Source organism: Homo sapiens, chromosome 16, assembly GCF_000001405.40.
Source record: "Homo sapiens chromosome 16, GRCh38.p14 Primary Assembly".
Taxonomy (NCBI): Eukaryota; Metazoa; Chordata; class Mammalia; order Primates; family Hominidae; genus Homo; species Homo sapiens.
The window spans coordinates 14,429,323-14,446,281 of NC_000016.10; the positions used below are offsets into that span (position 1 = coordinate 14,429,323).

The 16,959-nt window shown below is 45.0% G+C and overlaps 1 protein-coding gene across 7 annotated transcripts in view, besides 1 other annotated feature; it reads right to left on the minus strand.

The window, feature by feature from the left end:
• Positions 6,379–16,959, minus strand: part of PARN (poly(A)-specific ribonuclease) — a 194,560-nt gene continuing 183,979 nt past the window's right edge. For all 7 annotated transcript variants that reach the window (XR_007064884.1, XR_007064883.1, XR_007064882.1 and 4 more), the window contains one exon: positions 6,379–7,450. Coding sequence is in view for 3 of the 7 variants with exons in the window: in NM_001134477.3 (NP_001127949.1) it covers positions 7,395–7,450 (56 nt within the window). In the remaining 4 variants the exon portion in view is untranslated. The remainder of the gene's footprint in view (positions 7,451–16,959) is intronic.
• Positions 16,311–16,811: an enhancer, noted in NCBI's record as "H3K4me1 hESC enhancer chr16:14539490-14539990 (GRCh37/hg19 assembly coordinates)". NCBI's record gives its function as "activates a minimal SCP1, AML or CMV promoter by ChIP-STARR-seq in primed H9 embryonic stem cells {active_cell/tissue: H9 hESC(primed)}" and the evidence as "EXISTENCE:reporter gene assay evidence [ECO:0000049][PMID:30033119]".

The following is a 16,959-nucleotide window of genomic DNA, read 5'->3' on the forward strand; positions in this document are numbered from 1 at the left end:
TGAACTATTTTTAATACTCACTGGTTTCCCAGGTCTGGAGAGGGTGGTTTGGCCTCGCCTCAGCAGTAACCAAGTGTCATAGCATTTTCTTTTCAACGTCAAGAGGAGTGTTGCAAAATAGTCCAAGTGGGAACACACAGGAACCGTGAGACTCTCTTGGTGTTGCTGTTCAGTAATAATGATGCACACTTTAAAAACACACGCACTCGGCCGGGCACTGTGGCTCAGGCCTGTAATCCCAGCACTTTGGGAGGCCAAGGCTGGTGGATCACGAGGTCAGGAGTTCGAGACCAGCCTGGCCAATATGGTGAAACCCTGTCTCTACTGAAAATACAAAAATTAGCCGGGCGTGGTGGCACATGCCTGTAATCCCAGCTACTCGGGAGGCTAAGGCAGGAGATCGCTTGAACCTGGGAGATGGAGGTTGCAGTGAGCTGAGATTGTGCCACTGCACTCCAGCCTGGGTGATAGAGCGAGACTCCATCTCAAAAACAAACAAACAAAAAACAACAAAACAAAACCACACACACACTCGGGCTGGGCGCGGTGGCTCACGCCTGTAATCCCACTACTTTGGGAGGCCAAGGTGGGTGGATCACTTGAGGGCGGGAGTTCGAGACCAGCCTGGCCAACACAGCCAAACCGCGTCTTTACTAAAAAGTACAAAAATTAGCTGGGCATGGTGGCGGACACCTGTAATCCCAGCTACTTGGGAGGTTGAGGCAGGAGAATTGCTTGGACCCAGGAAGTGGAGGTTGCAGTGAGCTGAGATCATGCCACTGCACTCCAGCCTAGGCAACAGAGTGAGACTGCATCTCAAAAAACAAAACAAAACAAAAATTAGCTGGGTGTAGTGGCATGTGACTGTAACTCCAGCTACTTGGGAGGGTGAAGTGGGAAGATCACTTGAGCACGGGAGGTGGAGGCTGCAGTGAGCTGAGACTGTGCCACTACACTCCAGCCTGGGTGAACCACGGATGTAATGTTTCCACACATATAATGTATAATGATTACATAAGGGTAATTAGCATATCCATCACCTCGTTACATTACATATGTAATTACAATATAACTCTGTCTCAAAATAAATAAATAAATAAATAAATAAATAACACACATTCACGAATGTAAACTAGTATAGCCGCTATGGAGAACAGCATGGAGGCTCCTCAAAACACTACAAATAGCACATCATATGATCCAGGCCAGTCGTGGTAGCTCACGCCTGTAATCCCAGCACTTCTGGAGGCAGGCTGAGGCGGGCAGATCACTTGAGCCCAGGAGTTTGAGACCAGCCTGGGCAACAATGGTGAAACCCCACCTCTACAAAAACAAAACACAAAAAACTAGCCAGGTGTGGTGGCATATGCCTGTGGTCCCATCTACTCAGGAAGCTGAGGTTGGAAGGTTGCTTTAGCCTTGGAGGTCAAGGCTGCAGTGAACTTAGATCATGCCACTGCACTCCAGCCTGGGCAACAAAGCGAGACCCTGTCTCAAAAAACAAACAAACAAAAAATTACTATTACTATTGGCTAGGGGCAGTGGTTCACTCCTGTAATCCCAGCACTCTGGGAGGTTGAGGCAGGCAGATCACTTGAGCCCAGCAGTTCGAGACCAGCCCGGTCAACATGGCGAAACCCTGTCTCTACTAAAAATACAAAAAAATAGCTGGGCATGGTGATGCATGCCTGAAATCCCAGCTACTCAAGAGGCTGAGGCAGGAGAATTGCTTGAACCCGGGAGCTAGAGGTTGCAGTGAGCTAAGATTGGGGCACGGCACGCCAGCCTGGGTGACACAGCAAAACTCTGTCCAAAAAAAAAAAAAGAAACATTACTATGTACTCTATGAGCATGTACAATTATTATTTGTCAATGAAAATAAATAAAATGAAACACACACACCCCCTCAAGATCCATGCTTATAATTAGGTAAACAGAATTTTGACCAAATCACCACAACAATTAAACAAAAAGGTCTTCTCCACAGATGGTTCTGGAATAACTAGACATCCATATGGAATGAAGGAATCTCAACTCTAGTCTCGTACCATCCATAAAAAGTTAATTCAAGATGGATCATAGATTTAAACATAAATGCTAATACTAGAAAGCTCGAAGGAAACACGGATGAATATAACTTGGGGGTTTCTTAGGCAGGACATAGAAAAAGTCTATAAAACAGACTTCATCCTAATTAAAAACTTCTGCCCAGTAAAAGATACTGTTAAGAAAATAAGCAAGCCCGCTGGGCGCGGTGGCTCAAGCCTGTAATCCCAGCACTTTGGGAGGCCAAGGCGGGTGGATCACGAGGTCAGGAGATCAAGACCATCCTGGCTAACACAGTGAAACCCTGTCTCTACTAAAAATACAAAAAATTAGCCAGGCGTGATGGCGGGTGCCTGTAGTCCCAGCTATTCATGAGGCTGAGGCAGGAGAATGGCATGAACCCAGGAGGGAGAGCTTGCAGTGAGCCAAGAGCGCGTCACTGCACTCCAGCTTGGGGCGACAGTGCGACACTCTGTCTAAAAAAAGAAAAAAAGAAAGAAAATAAGCAAGCCATACATTGGGACTAAATATTTGCAAAACAACTATCCGACAGAGGACTGATGTCCAAAGTATGTAATGAACTGCTACGACTTTTTTTTTTTTGAGACAGTCTTGCTCTGTCACCTAGGCTGGAGTGCAGTGGCGTGATCTCAGCTCACTGCAACCTCCGCCTCCCAGGTTCAAGTGATTTTCCTGCCTCAGCCTCCCAAGTAGCTGGGATTACAGGCACAGGTGCCTGCCACCATGCCCAGCTAATTTTTGTATTTTTAGTAGAAACAGGGTTTCACCGTGTTGCCCAGGCTAGTCTCGAACTCCTGACCTCAAGTGATCCTCCCACCTCAGCCTCCCAAAGTGCTGGGATTACAGGCATGACCCACCATGCCTGGCCAACTTCTACAACTTAATGAAGAGACAAACAATCTGATGAAATATGGGCAAGATAATTGAACAGCTAACTCACAAAGGAGGATATACCTGTGGCAAGTACATCATTAGGAGTCATCAGATAAAGGACAATGAAAACTGCAAAGAGATATACTATACGCCCATCAAAATGGCTCAGTTAAAGTCTGACACCACCAAATGTTGCTAAGGAAGGGAGATACTAGAACTCTCATACATTGTTGGTGGCAGTATAAATTATATGATCACTTCGGAAAAAGATCTGGCAGTTTCTAAATAGACCACCTATCCCATGACCCAACAGTTCCACTCCTTGGCATTTACTCCCCCAAATTGAAGATTTTGTTCTCAAAGACTTGTACAAGACTGTTCACAGCAGCCTTATTCATAATGGCCCCAAACTGGAAATAGCCTAGGTGTTCATTAATTGAATAAATAAGCAGTGGTCAAGCCATACTCAGAAATAGAGAGAAAGGAACTACTGATACCTACAAAACATTGACGAATCTCAAAAACATTACGTAGGTTGGGCTCCGTGGCTCACATCTGTCATCCCAGCACTTCGGGAGGCTGAGGTGGGAGGATTGCTCAAGACCAGGAGTTCGAGGCTGCAGTGAGCTATGATCGCGCCACTGTACTCCAGCCTGGGCAACAGAGTGAGACTGTCTCTAAAAAAAAAAAAAAAAAAGAAAGAAAAGATAAATTGATGAATGGAAGGATACGTAATAAAGCAAATAGTCACGTGTCACTTAATGATGGGGATACATTCTGAGAAATGCATCATTAGGTGATTTAAAAAAATTTAATATTCCCAAACGTGGATAGAAGGATTTTTATTTTATTATTTTTAGAGACAGGATCTCGCTCTGTCCCCGGGCTGGAGTGCAGTGGTGTGATCATAGCTCACTGCAGACTTGAACTCAGTCCTCCTGCACTGGCCTCCCAAAACACTGGGATTACAGGTGTGAGCCACCATGCCCAGCCTGCAATGTTATCATTGTATGAACATCATAGTGTTCTTACCCAAACCTAGAGAGTATAGCCTATTGCTCCTGGGCTACAAACCTTTACAACATGTTACTGTACGGAATACTGTAGGCAACTGTAACCCAATGGTATTTGTGTATCTAAACACAGAAAAACTACAATAAAAATACAGTATAAAAATAAAAATGATACACTTGTGTAGAGCACTTACCATGAATGGAGCTTGCAGGGCTGGAAGGCATTCTGGTGAGTGATAGAGAGTGAATGTGAAGGCCTAGGACTCACAGTTACCCTGAATTTAGAAAAAATTTTCCTTTCAAGAATAAAATGACCTTAGCTTACTGTAACTTCTTTACTTAATAAACTTCTAAATTTTTTTCAACTATTTGACCCCTTTGTAACAACACTTAGCTTAAAACACGTATACACTGGAGCTGATAGGAATTTCCCAGCTCTAAGATCATCTAATGGGACCTCCATTGTTGATGGCAAGGCATGACTGTATAACAAAATGGTAATGATGACCTAGGTGGTGTATGCTTGAAAATCTTCATAATAAAATCTCAAGGGGAAAACTGGACAAATACAAAGTTATGAAAATAGACAGAGCCACAGCGCTTGATCTCCATCCCAGCTCCAAAATCAAAGGACTACAGAACTATTTGCAGGGAAACACGGAAGTTCCCACTCTGATGCCTGCCTCCAGATCTGGCTACCATGCTCAAGAAGCCCCCAGACAATAGCCTTGTTGTCATAATATGCCCCTGGGCCTCGGTATCAAAAGGCCAGAAGTACCATCCTAGGATTTTATGCCTAAAAGATATGTCAAGAAAGCCTGGTGTGTGTGTGTGGAGGAGGAAGTGGGTTAGCCCAGCTCACCTGTTTTGTTTTTGACAGGGTCTTGCTCTGACACCCAGGCTGGAAGCACAGTGGTGCAATCACAGCTCACTGCAGCTTCAACCTCCTAGGCTCAAGCAATCCTCCTGCTTCAGCCTCCCGAGTAGCTGAGACAACAGACGAACACCACCACACCCGGCCAATTTTTAAATTTTCTGTAGAGACAGCGTTTCATCATGTTGCCCAGGCTGCTCTTGAACTTCTGGCTCAAGCGATCCACCTGCCTCCACCTCCCAAAGTGGCAGGATTGCAGGCATGAGCCACAGCTCACCTGTTTTAAGTCATTTGATGCAGCAGAGAAAATAAAGGTCTGGGCATGTATGAAAGCTCCTCTGGGTGTTTAATTCTAAGTCAAATTCCAGTGACTATGTCTGCTCCCACTGATAGAAGCGAATGCAGTAAGCATTTCAGATCAAAAGCATAATCTTTAAATATAACTACAGTTTACTGTGTACTTGCGCGTGCTGGGCATTGTACGTAATTTCATTTAATCCTCACAACTACCCTGTGAAGTTGTTTATTTTCCTTTTGTTTTTGAGACAGATTCTTGCTCTGTTGCCCAGGCTGGAGTACAGCAGCACAATCTCAGCTCACTGCAACCTCCACCTCCTGGGTTCAAGCGATTCTCCTGCGGTCCCGGGTAGCTGGGACCACAGGCATGCGCCACCACGCCTGGCTAATTTTTGTATTTTTTGTAGAGATGGGGTCTCCCTGTGTTGCCCAGGCTGGTCTCGAACTCCTGGGTTCATGTGATCCTCCTGTCTTGGCCTCCCGATGTGTTGGGATTATAGACGTGAGACACTGCGCTGGGCCCCCTCTTTTTCTTTCAAAATCAAGGGTCAGACTCTCCTCATTTCTCCGTGAGTGCTGCTGACTCGGCAGTCCGGCAGCCCTCTCTACACATTCCTGCATACACCCTCCTTTACTGTCTGTCTCCATCCTACCTTCACACTTTCCACTGAGCCGTGTGTGCTGACTACTCTAGGAGGGGTGGGCAGTCCTTCCTGCCAAGCCTGGGTTTCTAACTTTGTGGCTACAAAACTCCAGGGAGTTTTGTAGGAAGGGAGAGGAGCAGGAAGGGGGAAGAGAAGTTAACATGCTTTAAAAAAAAAAAAAAAAAAAATTTTTTTTTTTTTTTTTTTAAAGACAGGGTCTCACTGCGTTGTCCATGCTGGTCTTGAACTCCTGGGCTCAAGTGATCCTCCCGTCTCAGCTTACAGGTGTGACAGAGGCTCTTGATTAGGGAAACTGTCTTACAAATCGGAATCTGCATAACACCCTGGGATTCCAGTGTGAGTGCTAAGGGTCCTCATTCCTCCCACCCTCCTACAAGGCCACTTACCACCAGGGCTCAGCTCGGTACTGAGGAGCCGATCCATCGTGGCAGGTATAGCAGTTAGGGGTAAAAAGAAGAAGAAAAAAATCCATGAACATCAGCCTTAGTGGCTTAGCAGATTTTTTTAGGAGTGTGAAATTTATCTGTGTATTACTAGAGAGCGAAAACATCATTCACTTATTAAAAAAAAAGAGAGGAGAAAACCAGAGTCCTATGAAAATGTTTTTAATTTTCATCTTTTGGAAATACATTTTTCATTTTTATTTCCACCATACAAAAATGTGAAATATCTAACAATGATCTATCTGAAGCGGGTGGAGCAAAGCAGCGCCATGAGCGTTTGTCGTTGCTGTGATCTGTTTCAACGGAGAATGGGCTGGGACATGTTGTAGATTTGCACGATTTCACACACACACACACACACACACACACACACACACACACACACACACAGACACGTACGCACACACGCTGCCGTACCCCGAGACCGCCATCCAAACAAACGAACAGAGACTCTGGAAAGTGAACACAGCGCCACGCATAAGAACAGAAGTTAACCTTTTTACTCGTACATCCCCCATGAGAAACTCACGTCTTAGGAGAAAGGAACTCTACATAAATATGCCCAAAGGCCAGGGCATACGGCAAGCCCTCTCATGGGTGGGCATGAGTGGACATCTTCCTGAAGGAAGGACAAGCTTGAGAGCGTCATGTTTTCAGGCAGCTATGGTGGGAAGCAGGGAGGCACAACCGATTTTTCCACTGGGAGACTAACCGAGGGCTGCAACTGCCTCAAAATCTCAGTGCGAGAAGATGCACAGGCAGGACAGTACACCCCCAAATTCATGATCACAGCAGCTGGAATGTCAGCTCTTTTTGCAGATTTCACAGCCGACACTCCCCATCAGGCAGGTTCTTAAGCACACTGGGTCATGACAGGAAAGGCCTCACAAGAGCAACACGGAATTCACTGGTTAAGCACGTACACATTCATGACAGCCTACAACCGTGATGAGTGTCAATGTCAACAGGCAGTTAGATTAAAAAGGGGAAAAAACCACAGCCACAAAAATAAAACCTGTTTTCTCCCCCCCAGGAGACAACTTGGTTTCCAACCCCTCCCATACCACATTTGATTAAGTTAAATACAGTGCGGCTTCCAAATGTGCCAGCCGGCTCTTGCTCACAGCGACAGCACCAGCGGTTTGCTGCCCTCAGGTCTTGGTTACCATGTGTCAGGAACTTCAAAGAGTGTGGCAGGGCTGTTCTTCGAGATGCTTCCTGGTGGGAAAGAACAAAACAATATGAACAGCAGGACCAGGACGGCACCTTGAGGAGAGCATGACATGACCAGCAGACAGACAGAGGGCCTGTGACGGCTGCAGACGGGGCCAGCGTCTGGCTAAACAGCTGCGCTGGAAAGAGTCCACAGACAGGTCTTGTCTAGGGAGGGCAGTGCCCAGCATGGGAAAGTGAAACCACAGAAACATCATGGGGGCGCGGAGGAAGCACCTCCCTGCCTCCAGCATCTATCTATTTATTTCACAGGAGTTAAACTGTAGCCATGCACAGTATTCCTCACTGAACACCATGCTGGATTCTTTGTTGGCAATACAGCGGGCATTTAATTCATATAATCTTCATTAAAAGCCCACCAAGGTGGTAACACTACCCCATTTTACAGATGCAAGAACAGATTGAGAGAAGTGGGGTAATATGACCAGATGTACAGAGCTAGCAAGTGGCTGAGATGGGGTCTGAATCCTCCCACAGCACCAACATCCCTGCCAAAGTCCCTGGAAACTGAGTTTCTCTGTGCTGTGCTGTGGCTCTGCCTAGGTGAGAAATCTCAGGTGGGCAGCTGAAGGGCAGAGGGAAGCCAACCAGTGGGGGTTCCAATATCTCAACAGGGGCAAAAGAAGGTTGCAGCTTTTTCCAGCTTCGGTGAAGCTGGCTGGGGTCCTCTTCTTGGATTGAAAAGATCTCTTCAGTGACAAAGTTTCACCCCAATGTCAGAAGCCCTTCTTTTTTATTCATGCCACTTTCTACAATACGAGCAGCTGCGGCCAGCAACTGAGCTGGGACTGGACTTCAACGAATGTGAGGGAAGTCAGGAAAGAGCATGTTCATAATGGAAAGTGTGGCCCGACCAGGCGTCAGCTGCACAAGTGGTGCCATGCATTAAGTCATAAAGTAGGGCTGACGGGGGAAACTGGCAGTCTCTCTTCTAGCTGCTAACACCAAGATTTTAGAAAGGGAGAGAAGTCTTTGATGATACCTCCAATGGGAAATAACTTTTAAATACAGAGGGGGTGCAGTGTCTTACAAACTAGGGAATCATATCACTGAGTTCACAGTGGTTATCATCAGTAACAGGGATGCTTAAAAATAACGAGGTCTGAACACAAGAAAAAACATGAAGAGAATTTCAGCTAACATGAGAATTTCTACTTCTGATCATTTACTGTGATAAGATCCAGGGAGTTAGGGTGAGGAGACCGGGAAAGGGTAACCGGACTCTTTCTGCCCTGGGTCTCATCGCTCTGAACAGGCACGTTCTGGGACACCCAGTAAAGATGGCGAGACCACTCTGGAGAAGTGAAGATGGGCAGGAGATGATCCACTGAAAAGGACTCATGGGGTCCAGTGAAGTACTGCAAGGGGCCTGTGATAACCTGCAGCTAGCCTGGCCTTCCCAGTCCCACAATGATACAATAAACACCTAACTGTATGAAAAGAAACATCCATTAAGGGCACTTTTATAATTCACATATGAAAGAAATATTGCAGTAGCCAATTAGCCATTCTAAAGGTAAAAGCTACAATGCCAAATGTGGGGAACTGAAGTAAATTAAATCCAGCTCAGAGGAAAAAGGAAGATAAATTGCTAAAAGCAACTGCACTGCAATACTTGTAATCTGCACCTGCCAATCTGCACCTGCCATTAGTTGGGGGGGGGGGTGTGTGAGTGCACAGTGAGCCACCAGACACACAGGAAGTGGTTCCATGAAGAGCTAACAGGAAATAATGGAATAAGCAAAAAGTTCTGGAGTAAGGCAAGTCAAGTTGGACCATTTTACTAGCTGGATGACCTTGAACAGGTCTCACTGCTTCGTCTAAGATGGACCCAGTACTATTTTATGCTGTATAGGACTTCTGTGATACAGCAAAGTTGCTGGGTAAGTTTTTAATGAACGCTAGGTCTCTTCCCCTAATCAATAAGCTGATCCAACATGGAACATGGCTGTTCCCCAGAAAGCCAACAGTCTATAATCAAAAAGATGCTAGTTTTCACTGTCTACCTGTACAGCTGCTGAGCGAGAATGATGTGTACAAAGGGGCCAGAACTGTAGGAGCCATCTACAGGAGACCCGGACCAGAGGGGAAATGAAGGCCACTAACAGCGTTCTTTCCAGCACCTTCCAGAAAGGGAGAGCTGTAGATCAACAAACGGCCAGTCTCAAAACTGGCAGATAAGAAGGTATGGTTTTTAAAAAGCAGCAGCTATGGTCAGTTTTCCACAGAACTCATTTTCACAGCCCTGTTTTACTGGAGTGTAAGGAATCATTTAGGAACAACTTTTCTTTTTAAACAGATACTTGGCTGTGTGTGGTGGCTCATGCCTGTAATCCCAGTACTTTAGGAGGCTGATGAGGGAAGGCTTGAGCCCAGGAGTTTGGGACCAGCCTGGGCAACACAGGGAGACCCTGCCTCTACAAAAAATTTACAAATTTGCCAGGTGTGGTGGCACACACCTGTGGTCCCAGCTACCTAGGAGGCTGAGGTGGGAGGATCACTTGAGCCCAGGATATCAAGGCTGCAGTGAGCTGTGATAGTGCTACTGCATTCCAGCCTGGGTGGGTGACAGAGTGAAACTGTCGCACAAAAAAAAAAAAAAAAATAGAGGGAGGGAGGGAAGGAAAGAAGACAGGGAGGGAGGGAGGGAGGAAGGGAGGGAGGGAGATACTTAAAAACACCTGCCTTTTGCTACAGTGGACCTTAATCCATAGCTTGCATTATATACAAAGATTAACTTGAATTGTACATTTTAATTGTAAAACCTAAAACTGTAAAACTTCTGGAAGAAAACATAGAAGAAAATATTTGCAACTTAGAGTTATGCAAAGATTTTTTAGATATGACACCAAAGGCAAAATCCAAGGGGAAAAATCTGATAAACTGGACTTCATCAAAATTTAAAACTACTACTCTTGAAAAGACACTGTTAAAATAATGAAAAGAGGCTGGCTGTGGTGGCTCACGCCTGTAATCCCAGCACTTTGGGAGGCTGAGGCCGGTGGATCACGAGGTCAGGGGTTCGAGACCACCCTGGCCAACATGGTAAAACCCATCTCTACTAAAAAAGTACAAAAATTAGCTGGGCGTGGTGGCAGGCGCCTGTAATCCCAGCTACTCAGGAGGCTGAGGCAGGAGAATAGCCTGAACCCGAGAGGCGGAGGTTGCAGTGAGCCGAAATCGTGCCACTGCACTCCAGTCTGGGCGACAAAGCAAGACTGTCTCGAAAACAACAACAACAACAACAACAACAAACCACCACCACCAACAACAACAAAATGAAAAGAAAAACCAACCTAGAAGAATATATTTGTAAAATGCTTAAAAGGACTTGTATCCAGAATCTATAAAGAACTCTCAAAATGCAGTCAGAAAATAAACAACCCTAGAACAAAGGGAAAAAATGAAAAGATATTTCACCAAATAAGAAATCTGGATGGCAAAAAATCACAGGAAAAGATGCTTATTAGTCATTAGGGAAATAAAAACCAAAGCCACAATGAGATACCACTACATACCCATTAGAACTGCTGAACAAACAAGCAAAAGGGGTGTGTATCAATATCAAGTACTGGTGAGGGCGCAGAGTGAGCTGAAGCCTTGTATACTGCTGGGGGAAATCCAAAATGGTGACGCCACTTTGGAAAAGAGTGTATCAATTTCTTATGAAGTTAAATATACAGTTACCATATGACCCAGCAACCCCACTCCTAGATATTTACCCAAAGAAAATGAAAACTTAATTCATACAAAAAACCTGTACACAAATATTTATAGCAGCTTGATTCTTGATTGACAAAAACTGGCAACAACCTAAATGTCCTTCCCCTGGGTGATGGATAAATAGTGATACCTGTATACAGTGGAATACCACTTAGCAGTAAAACGGAGTGTACTGAGGATACACGCACCACCACAAATCACAAATGCATCATGCTAAATGAAAGAAGTTAAATGAAAGGCTCAAAAGGCTAACTATCGCATGATTCCAGGTATATGACATTCTGGAAAAGACAAAATCGCAGGGACAGAAAGAAGACCAATGGCTGCTGGGATCTGTGTGGGGGTTGGGGGAAGGATCAACTCCAAACGGGCATGAGGGAAATTTCTGGAGTGATGGAGTTGTATATCGTGATCATAGTGGTGGTTATATGACTGTACACAGATGTCAAAGCTCATCAAATTGTATACCTGAAAGTGATGACTTTCATTGGGTACAATTATATCTTATTGAAGCTGACCTGGCGCAAGATATTAAAAACAATGTTTTAAAAGAAAACCAACAAAATTTTAATATGAAATACTATGCTTATAGTTAAGATTATTTGGCCAAGAGTTTCTAAAAGGGGAAAAGGCAGGATACAAGCTGCATACAGGGTATGAGGTTGGCCGCAGAGCAACAATGCTTGTTACCACAGCATCAAGTTGGGGGCTGGGGGCTTAATTGTCTTCTATTTTTCTGCATTTTCCAAATTCTCATGCTGAGTACATTATTTTTATTAACCAAAAAAACAAAAAATTAAAAGACGGGGAACACAAAAGGTGAATATTTCTGCTTTTCTCCCCTTTACCTAACTGGAGTTGAAATGGAGAAACTTGAAGGGGTAAGGCATTGCTTTTTCCAGGTGAATCCCAAACGGATTCTAAGAAGCTGCACAGGACACTGGAAGCTTCCCATTGTATCCTCTTCCACAGAGTGGACATCCGTACACAGGAAGGTCCTTTGGGAAGCTGCACTCAAGTTTCTAACTAGGAAACGCTGAAGGGGGTACGCCCTGGGGCCGGTTTCCCACACTAAGAAGGTGAGCCCCCTCCCTGCAAGGCTGATGACATCTTGGAGTTGCCAGGAGGAACAGGGAGGGCACAAATGCGCACTGAGTGCCCTGCCTCTGCCTCACTGCACAGCAGCCCACACCTCCTTCGCCACGTTCACTGCAAACCACACTTGAACATAGTAATTAAAAGGCTCCTTGGGAGGCCGCTCGGCTGCCTCAGCCTGGTCTCTCAGGTGACCGACAGCAGCAGCTGTAGATCTTGTTTCTGACTTTAAGGAGACCAGTAACAGCATGAGGAGACTGCTGCTCTAATTAGGTTCTAAATTTTTATACTGTAACCCTTAGGGTTTCAGCTTGAAAAGTTCAGCAGGTTAGTCAAGACTCCAATAAAACTCCAGGTTCTTTGGCAAACACTTAAAAGGCCTAACATGTTGTTTTAAATGTTAGGGGAAAAAAGACTTTGAACAATGTCTCTATTTACAGGACAAAAAATAACCGGGAATAGTCAATGTATCTCCTTTGGGCATGCCTCTGTAAACACCATCTAACTAAGGTGCTGATGGAACCTGCTGCTAGGGACCAGCCAGCAGTATTTTCACAATGGTCAGCCCAGGCAGCATCAGACCATCCATGCGGCCCTGAGATTCTCCAGAGAAGTGAGGGGGTGGGCAATTTCTCCAGGTCCCAGGAACACATCAACAAGAACAAGTATGTGACAGAAATCCTTCAATTAAACATGACCTGGGAAAACAGCCACACTTCCTGAAGACATTTTATTCCAGCATTAATGGCATGCAGAGTAGTTTTCCTTTGCGTACCGAGTATGTACCTAGAACTGCTTGGATGGAAAGTGGCTGGCACTACCAATCAACAGTCATATCAACAAAAAAGGAGGGGACTTATGCTGTACATTCACCTCCTGAAAATAGGATTGAAACAACCATACTTACAAGAAAAATATTTGCTGAGTACATAGTATACACATAAACTAGAAGCCCTGAAGGAGACTGGTTACTTGGCTTTCCCTCCCTCCCTCCCTCCTCTCTCTTTCTTTGTTTCTTTCTTGAGACGGAGTCTTGGAGTCTTGCTCTGTCACCCAAGCTGGAGTGCAGTGGCACCATCTGGGCTCACTGCAACCTCAGCCTCCTGGGCTTAAGCGAGTCTCCTGCCTCAGCCTCCCAAGTAGCTGGGAGCACCACCATTCCCAGCTAATTTTTGTATTTTTAGTAGAGACAGGGTTTCGCCATGTTGGCCAGGCTGGTCTCGAACTCCTGACCCAAGGTGGTGGACTAACAGGCGTGAGCCACCATGCCCAGCCCGCTTGGATTTCTATCCAGTGACTTTATCACATGAAAGTCTAGATTGGTAATTGTTTCTGATCTAGAACAGCTGCAAGAAACATTCACCTTTGTAATGAATCCTTCATTTCCTCTAAAGTCTGGATGAGTTTCCCCAGCCTCCCACATGTCAGTTAGATACTTTTAAGTCTGCAACTCTAAGCCTCAGTTTCCTCTGTACAACTGGGAAAGAGTATCTGCACCTTACTGCATGTTTAAAAGGTCTAGACAAGACAATAAAGGATGTTCCTAGCACTCTGTCTAATAGTATAAACCCAATAAATAGTCCTTTCTTCCACTATTTTTGTCATTTTGTTATCTGGGATTGGGTCTAGTACTTAATTCTTAGTGTATCTTCGATATCAAAATGTATACTATGAGTTCATGTGCTTGGGTAAAGAGAAAAAATTAAAAGAAAAAGAACAGATATAAAGAGATTACTTTTTTTTTTTTTTTTTGAGACAGAGTTTCGCTCTTGTAACTCAGGCTGGAGTGCAATGGCATGATCTCAGCTCACTGCAACCTCTGCCTCCCTGGTTCAAGCGATTCTCCTGCCTCAGCCTCCCAAGTAGCTGGGATTACAGGTGTGCACCACCATGCCAGGCTAATTTTTGTATTTTTAGTAGACGGGGTTTCGCCATGTTGGCCAGGCTGGTCTTGAACTCTTGACCTCAGGTGATCTGCCCACCTCGCCCTCCAGAAGTGCTGGGATTATAGGCATGAGCCACTGTACCCGGTAAGATTAAATTTTAAAAAATTTGTTTTGTGTGGTATTTGTTGAGCATCAGTTGTTCTGGGATTGCTACAACATAGGATATTCCAGCGTCCTAATTTTTGCTACTTCCTCCTTGGAGAACAGAAAATACCCACAGGTAGTGCCCTTTTATGTCTTTCATGCCCTCACTGCCAGTGCTGGGCCCCCAAGCCCCTGAGGATCTGTTGAGTACCTGCTGAGATGCTTTTCTGAGTACTGGAGCTCACACCCAACGCCTCAGCACCGTTTTGGGTTGGACAGACTTTGTCGCGCCGTGCCTAGCACTCTAATACAGTTCCCGCCACCACCCGAACCAGACCTTCGCGGCTCCTGGCACACTCTAAATACTTCTGAGAGTTTAATGCAGACCCTCAACAGGGCTTGAACTTTGTACTCTCACTCATTATGGGACCTTATTAAAGTAAATGAGCAAGCCAAATTGGCTGATTCCACAGGTTCTGCACCTGATATCCTGACCTATATCCTGCTGATACTAATAGGATTAAACACTGAAAACAAACCAGGTGGAAAGGATCCATTAAGTTTCCACCTGGCACCGTCAGGGGTCTTGCTCGATGAATGGTGCTCCAGAAGAAAGCTCGATTCACTCAAGTTCTCTGATTCAATTAAAAGTTGTCAAGATGTCTCTTTCTCTTTTTTTTTTGGCAGCACTGACAAAGAAGTACAAAATCTACAATTTTTTTTTTAGCTCAAATCTTGTGGCAGTGACAGCTTTACTGTCAATGGGAGGAAAAAAACCCTTATTTTAATTACAGTATTATAAATTCAAAACCCTAAATAACTTATAGAAAGTTTTCACTTAAAATGATGAAAGCTATAAAAGGAACTAATCTATTAATGCAGTCTATTATTAGTTATTTTAATTTTAATATTTTTCAGATTATGCTGATATAGAGGGGAAAAACGAAAAGCTTGTCCCTGAGGAGTAATAAACTAAAAAAATCCAGAAGAGACAGCTATGAAGGACAGGAATACAAGTGGGGAAACCCCCCTGCCCCTCTAAATCCTGCTCAGTACGATCTCTAGAAATCATGCTGACATTCATTATTTTAACATTTGTTGAGCACACGAAACATGACAGTGGTAATAAAGGTATGAAATTTGAAGACTAAGGATGCTACAGATTTAAAACTTCTCCAATACTTTTTCTTCTTTCTTTTCTTGAGACAAGGTCTCACTGTGTCCCCCAGGTTGGAGTGCACTGATGCGATCATAGCTCACTGCAGTCAAAACTCCTGGGCTCAAGCGATCCTCCCGATTCAGCCTCCTGAGTACCTGGGACTACATGCCCGTGCAGCTAATATTTAAATTTTTTTTTTTTTTTTTTTTTTTTTGTAGAGAAAAGGTGTCACTATATTGCCCAGGCTGGTCTCAAACTCCCGGGCTCAGGTCATCCTCCTGCTTCAGCTTCCCAGAGTGGTGGGATTATAGTTGTGAGCTACCATGCCTGGCCCCCTCCAATAGTTAAGTCAGGGAAAGGACAGGAGGTAAGTAAAGAGAGACACCCAGAGTCAAGAGACAGCTAAAACATCCAATCCAGGCTTCAAACACAAGTTTAAGTTTTCTGTTGAAATTCAGCTTCAGCATAATGTACAAAAAGCATATGTGACATTTTTGCTACTTGTCTGATTTCATTAATATCCATGAGATTCAGAAAACTCCCCACAGTCAGATCGGGCCACATGCAAAAGGGGATTAATTAAAACAGTGCATTCATAGCTTGGGTATGAATCAAGTTCCACCACTTGACTACTACTTTCCTTTGATTTGATTGTTAGTTCTGCTAACCGTGACAACTGTCACGATGTGAGACAAAGGAGAATGATTATAATTGTGTCTGGGTCAGTGTCTCTCAACACATAACCTTGGTTAAAAGCACTCACTTTCTTTTGTGTGTGTGTATGTAAGACAGGGTGTCACTCTGTTGCCCAGGATGGAGTGCAGTGGCGCAATCTTGGCTCACTGTAGCCTTGACCTCCCTGGGCTGAGGCAGTCCCCCTACTTCAGTCTCCTTAGTAGCTGGGACTACCGGCATGCGCCACCACACCTGGCTAATTTTTTGTATTTTTAGTAGAGACGTGGTTTTGCCATGTTGGCCATGCTGGTCTTGAACTCCTGACCTCAAGTGATCCACCCGTCTTGGCCTCCCAAAGTGCTCGGATTACAGGCGTGAGCCACCGAGCCTGGCCTCACCAGCTTTCTTGTAGGACAGACTTAATGGCTCTGGGACTTTGGGCAACTCACATAACCCTTTGGGCCTCCGTTTTCTTAACTGTAAAATGGATAATGATGACTGTCTCAAGGATTTAAATGAAAGAATTTCAGTTACACATTAAGCACTGTCCTGGCTCCAGTAATAAGCACTCAATAAGCAGTGGCTATGATTACTGTCACTGTGACTGCTGCCTTGCTGGACCGCCCCCTGCAGCAGGGAATGGCCTTTTCCATGTGCTGACTGACAAGATGCCCTTCTGGCCTCTTGCTGTGGCCCTGTGTGGCATGTGTGCATGAAGGGCTGAGTGAGGCACATCTGCGGGGTGGAGAGGACATGGGATTCAGCTCAGGCAGACCTGGGTCTGCCTTTCGGCTGTGCTTCTTAAGCGCAGC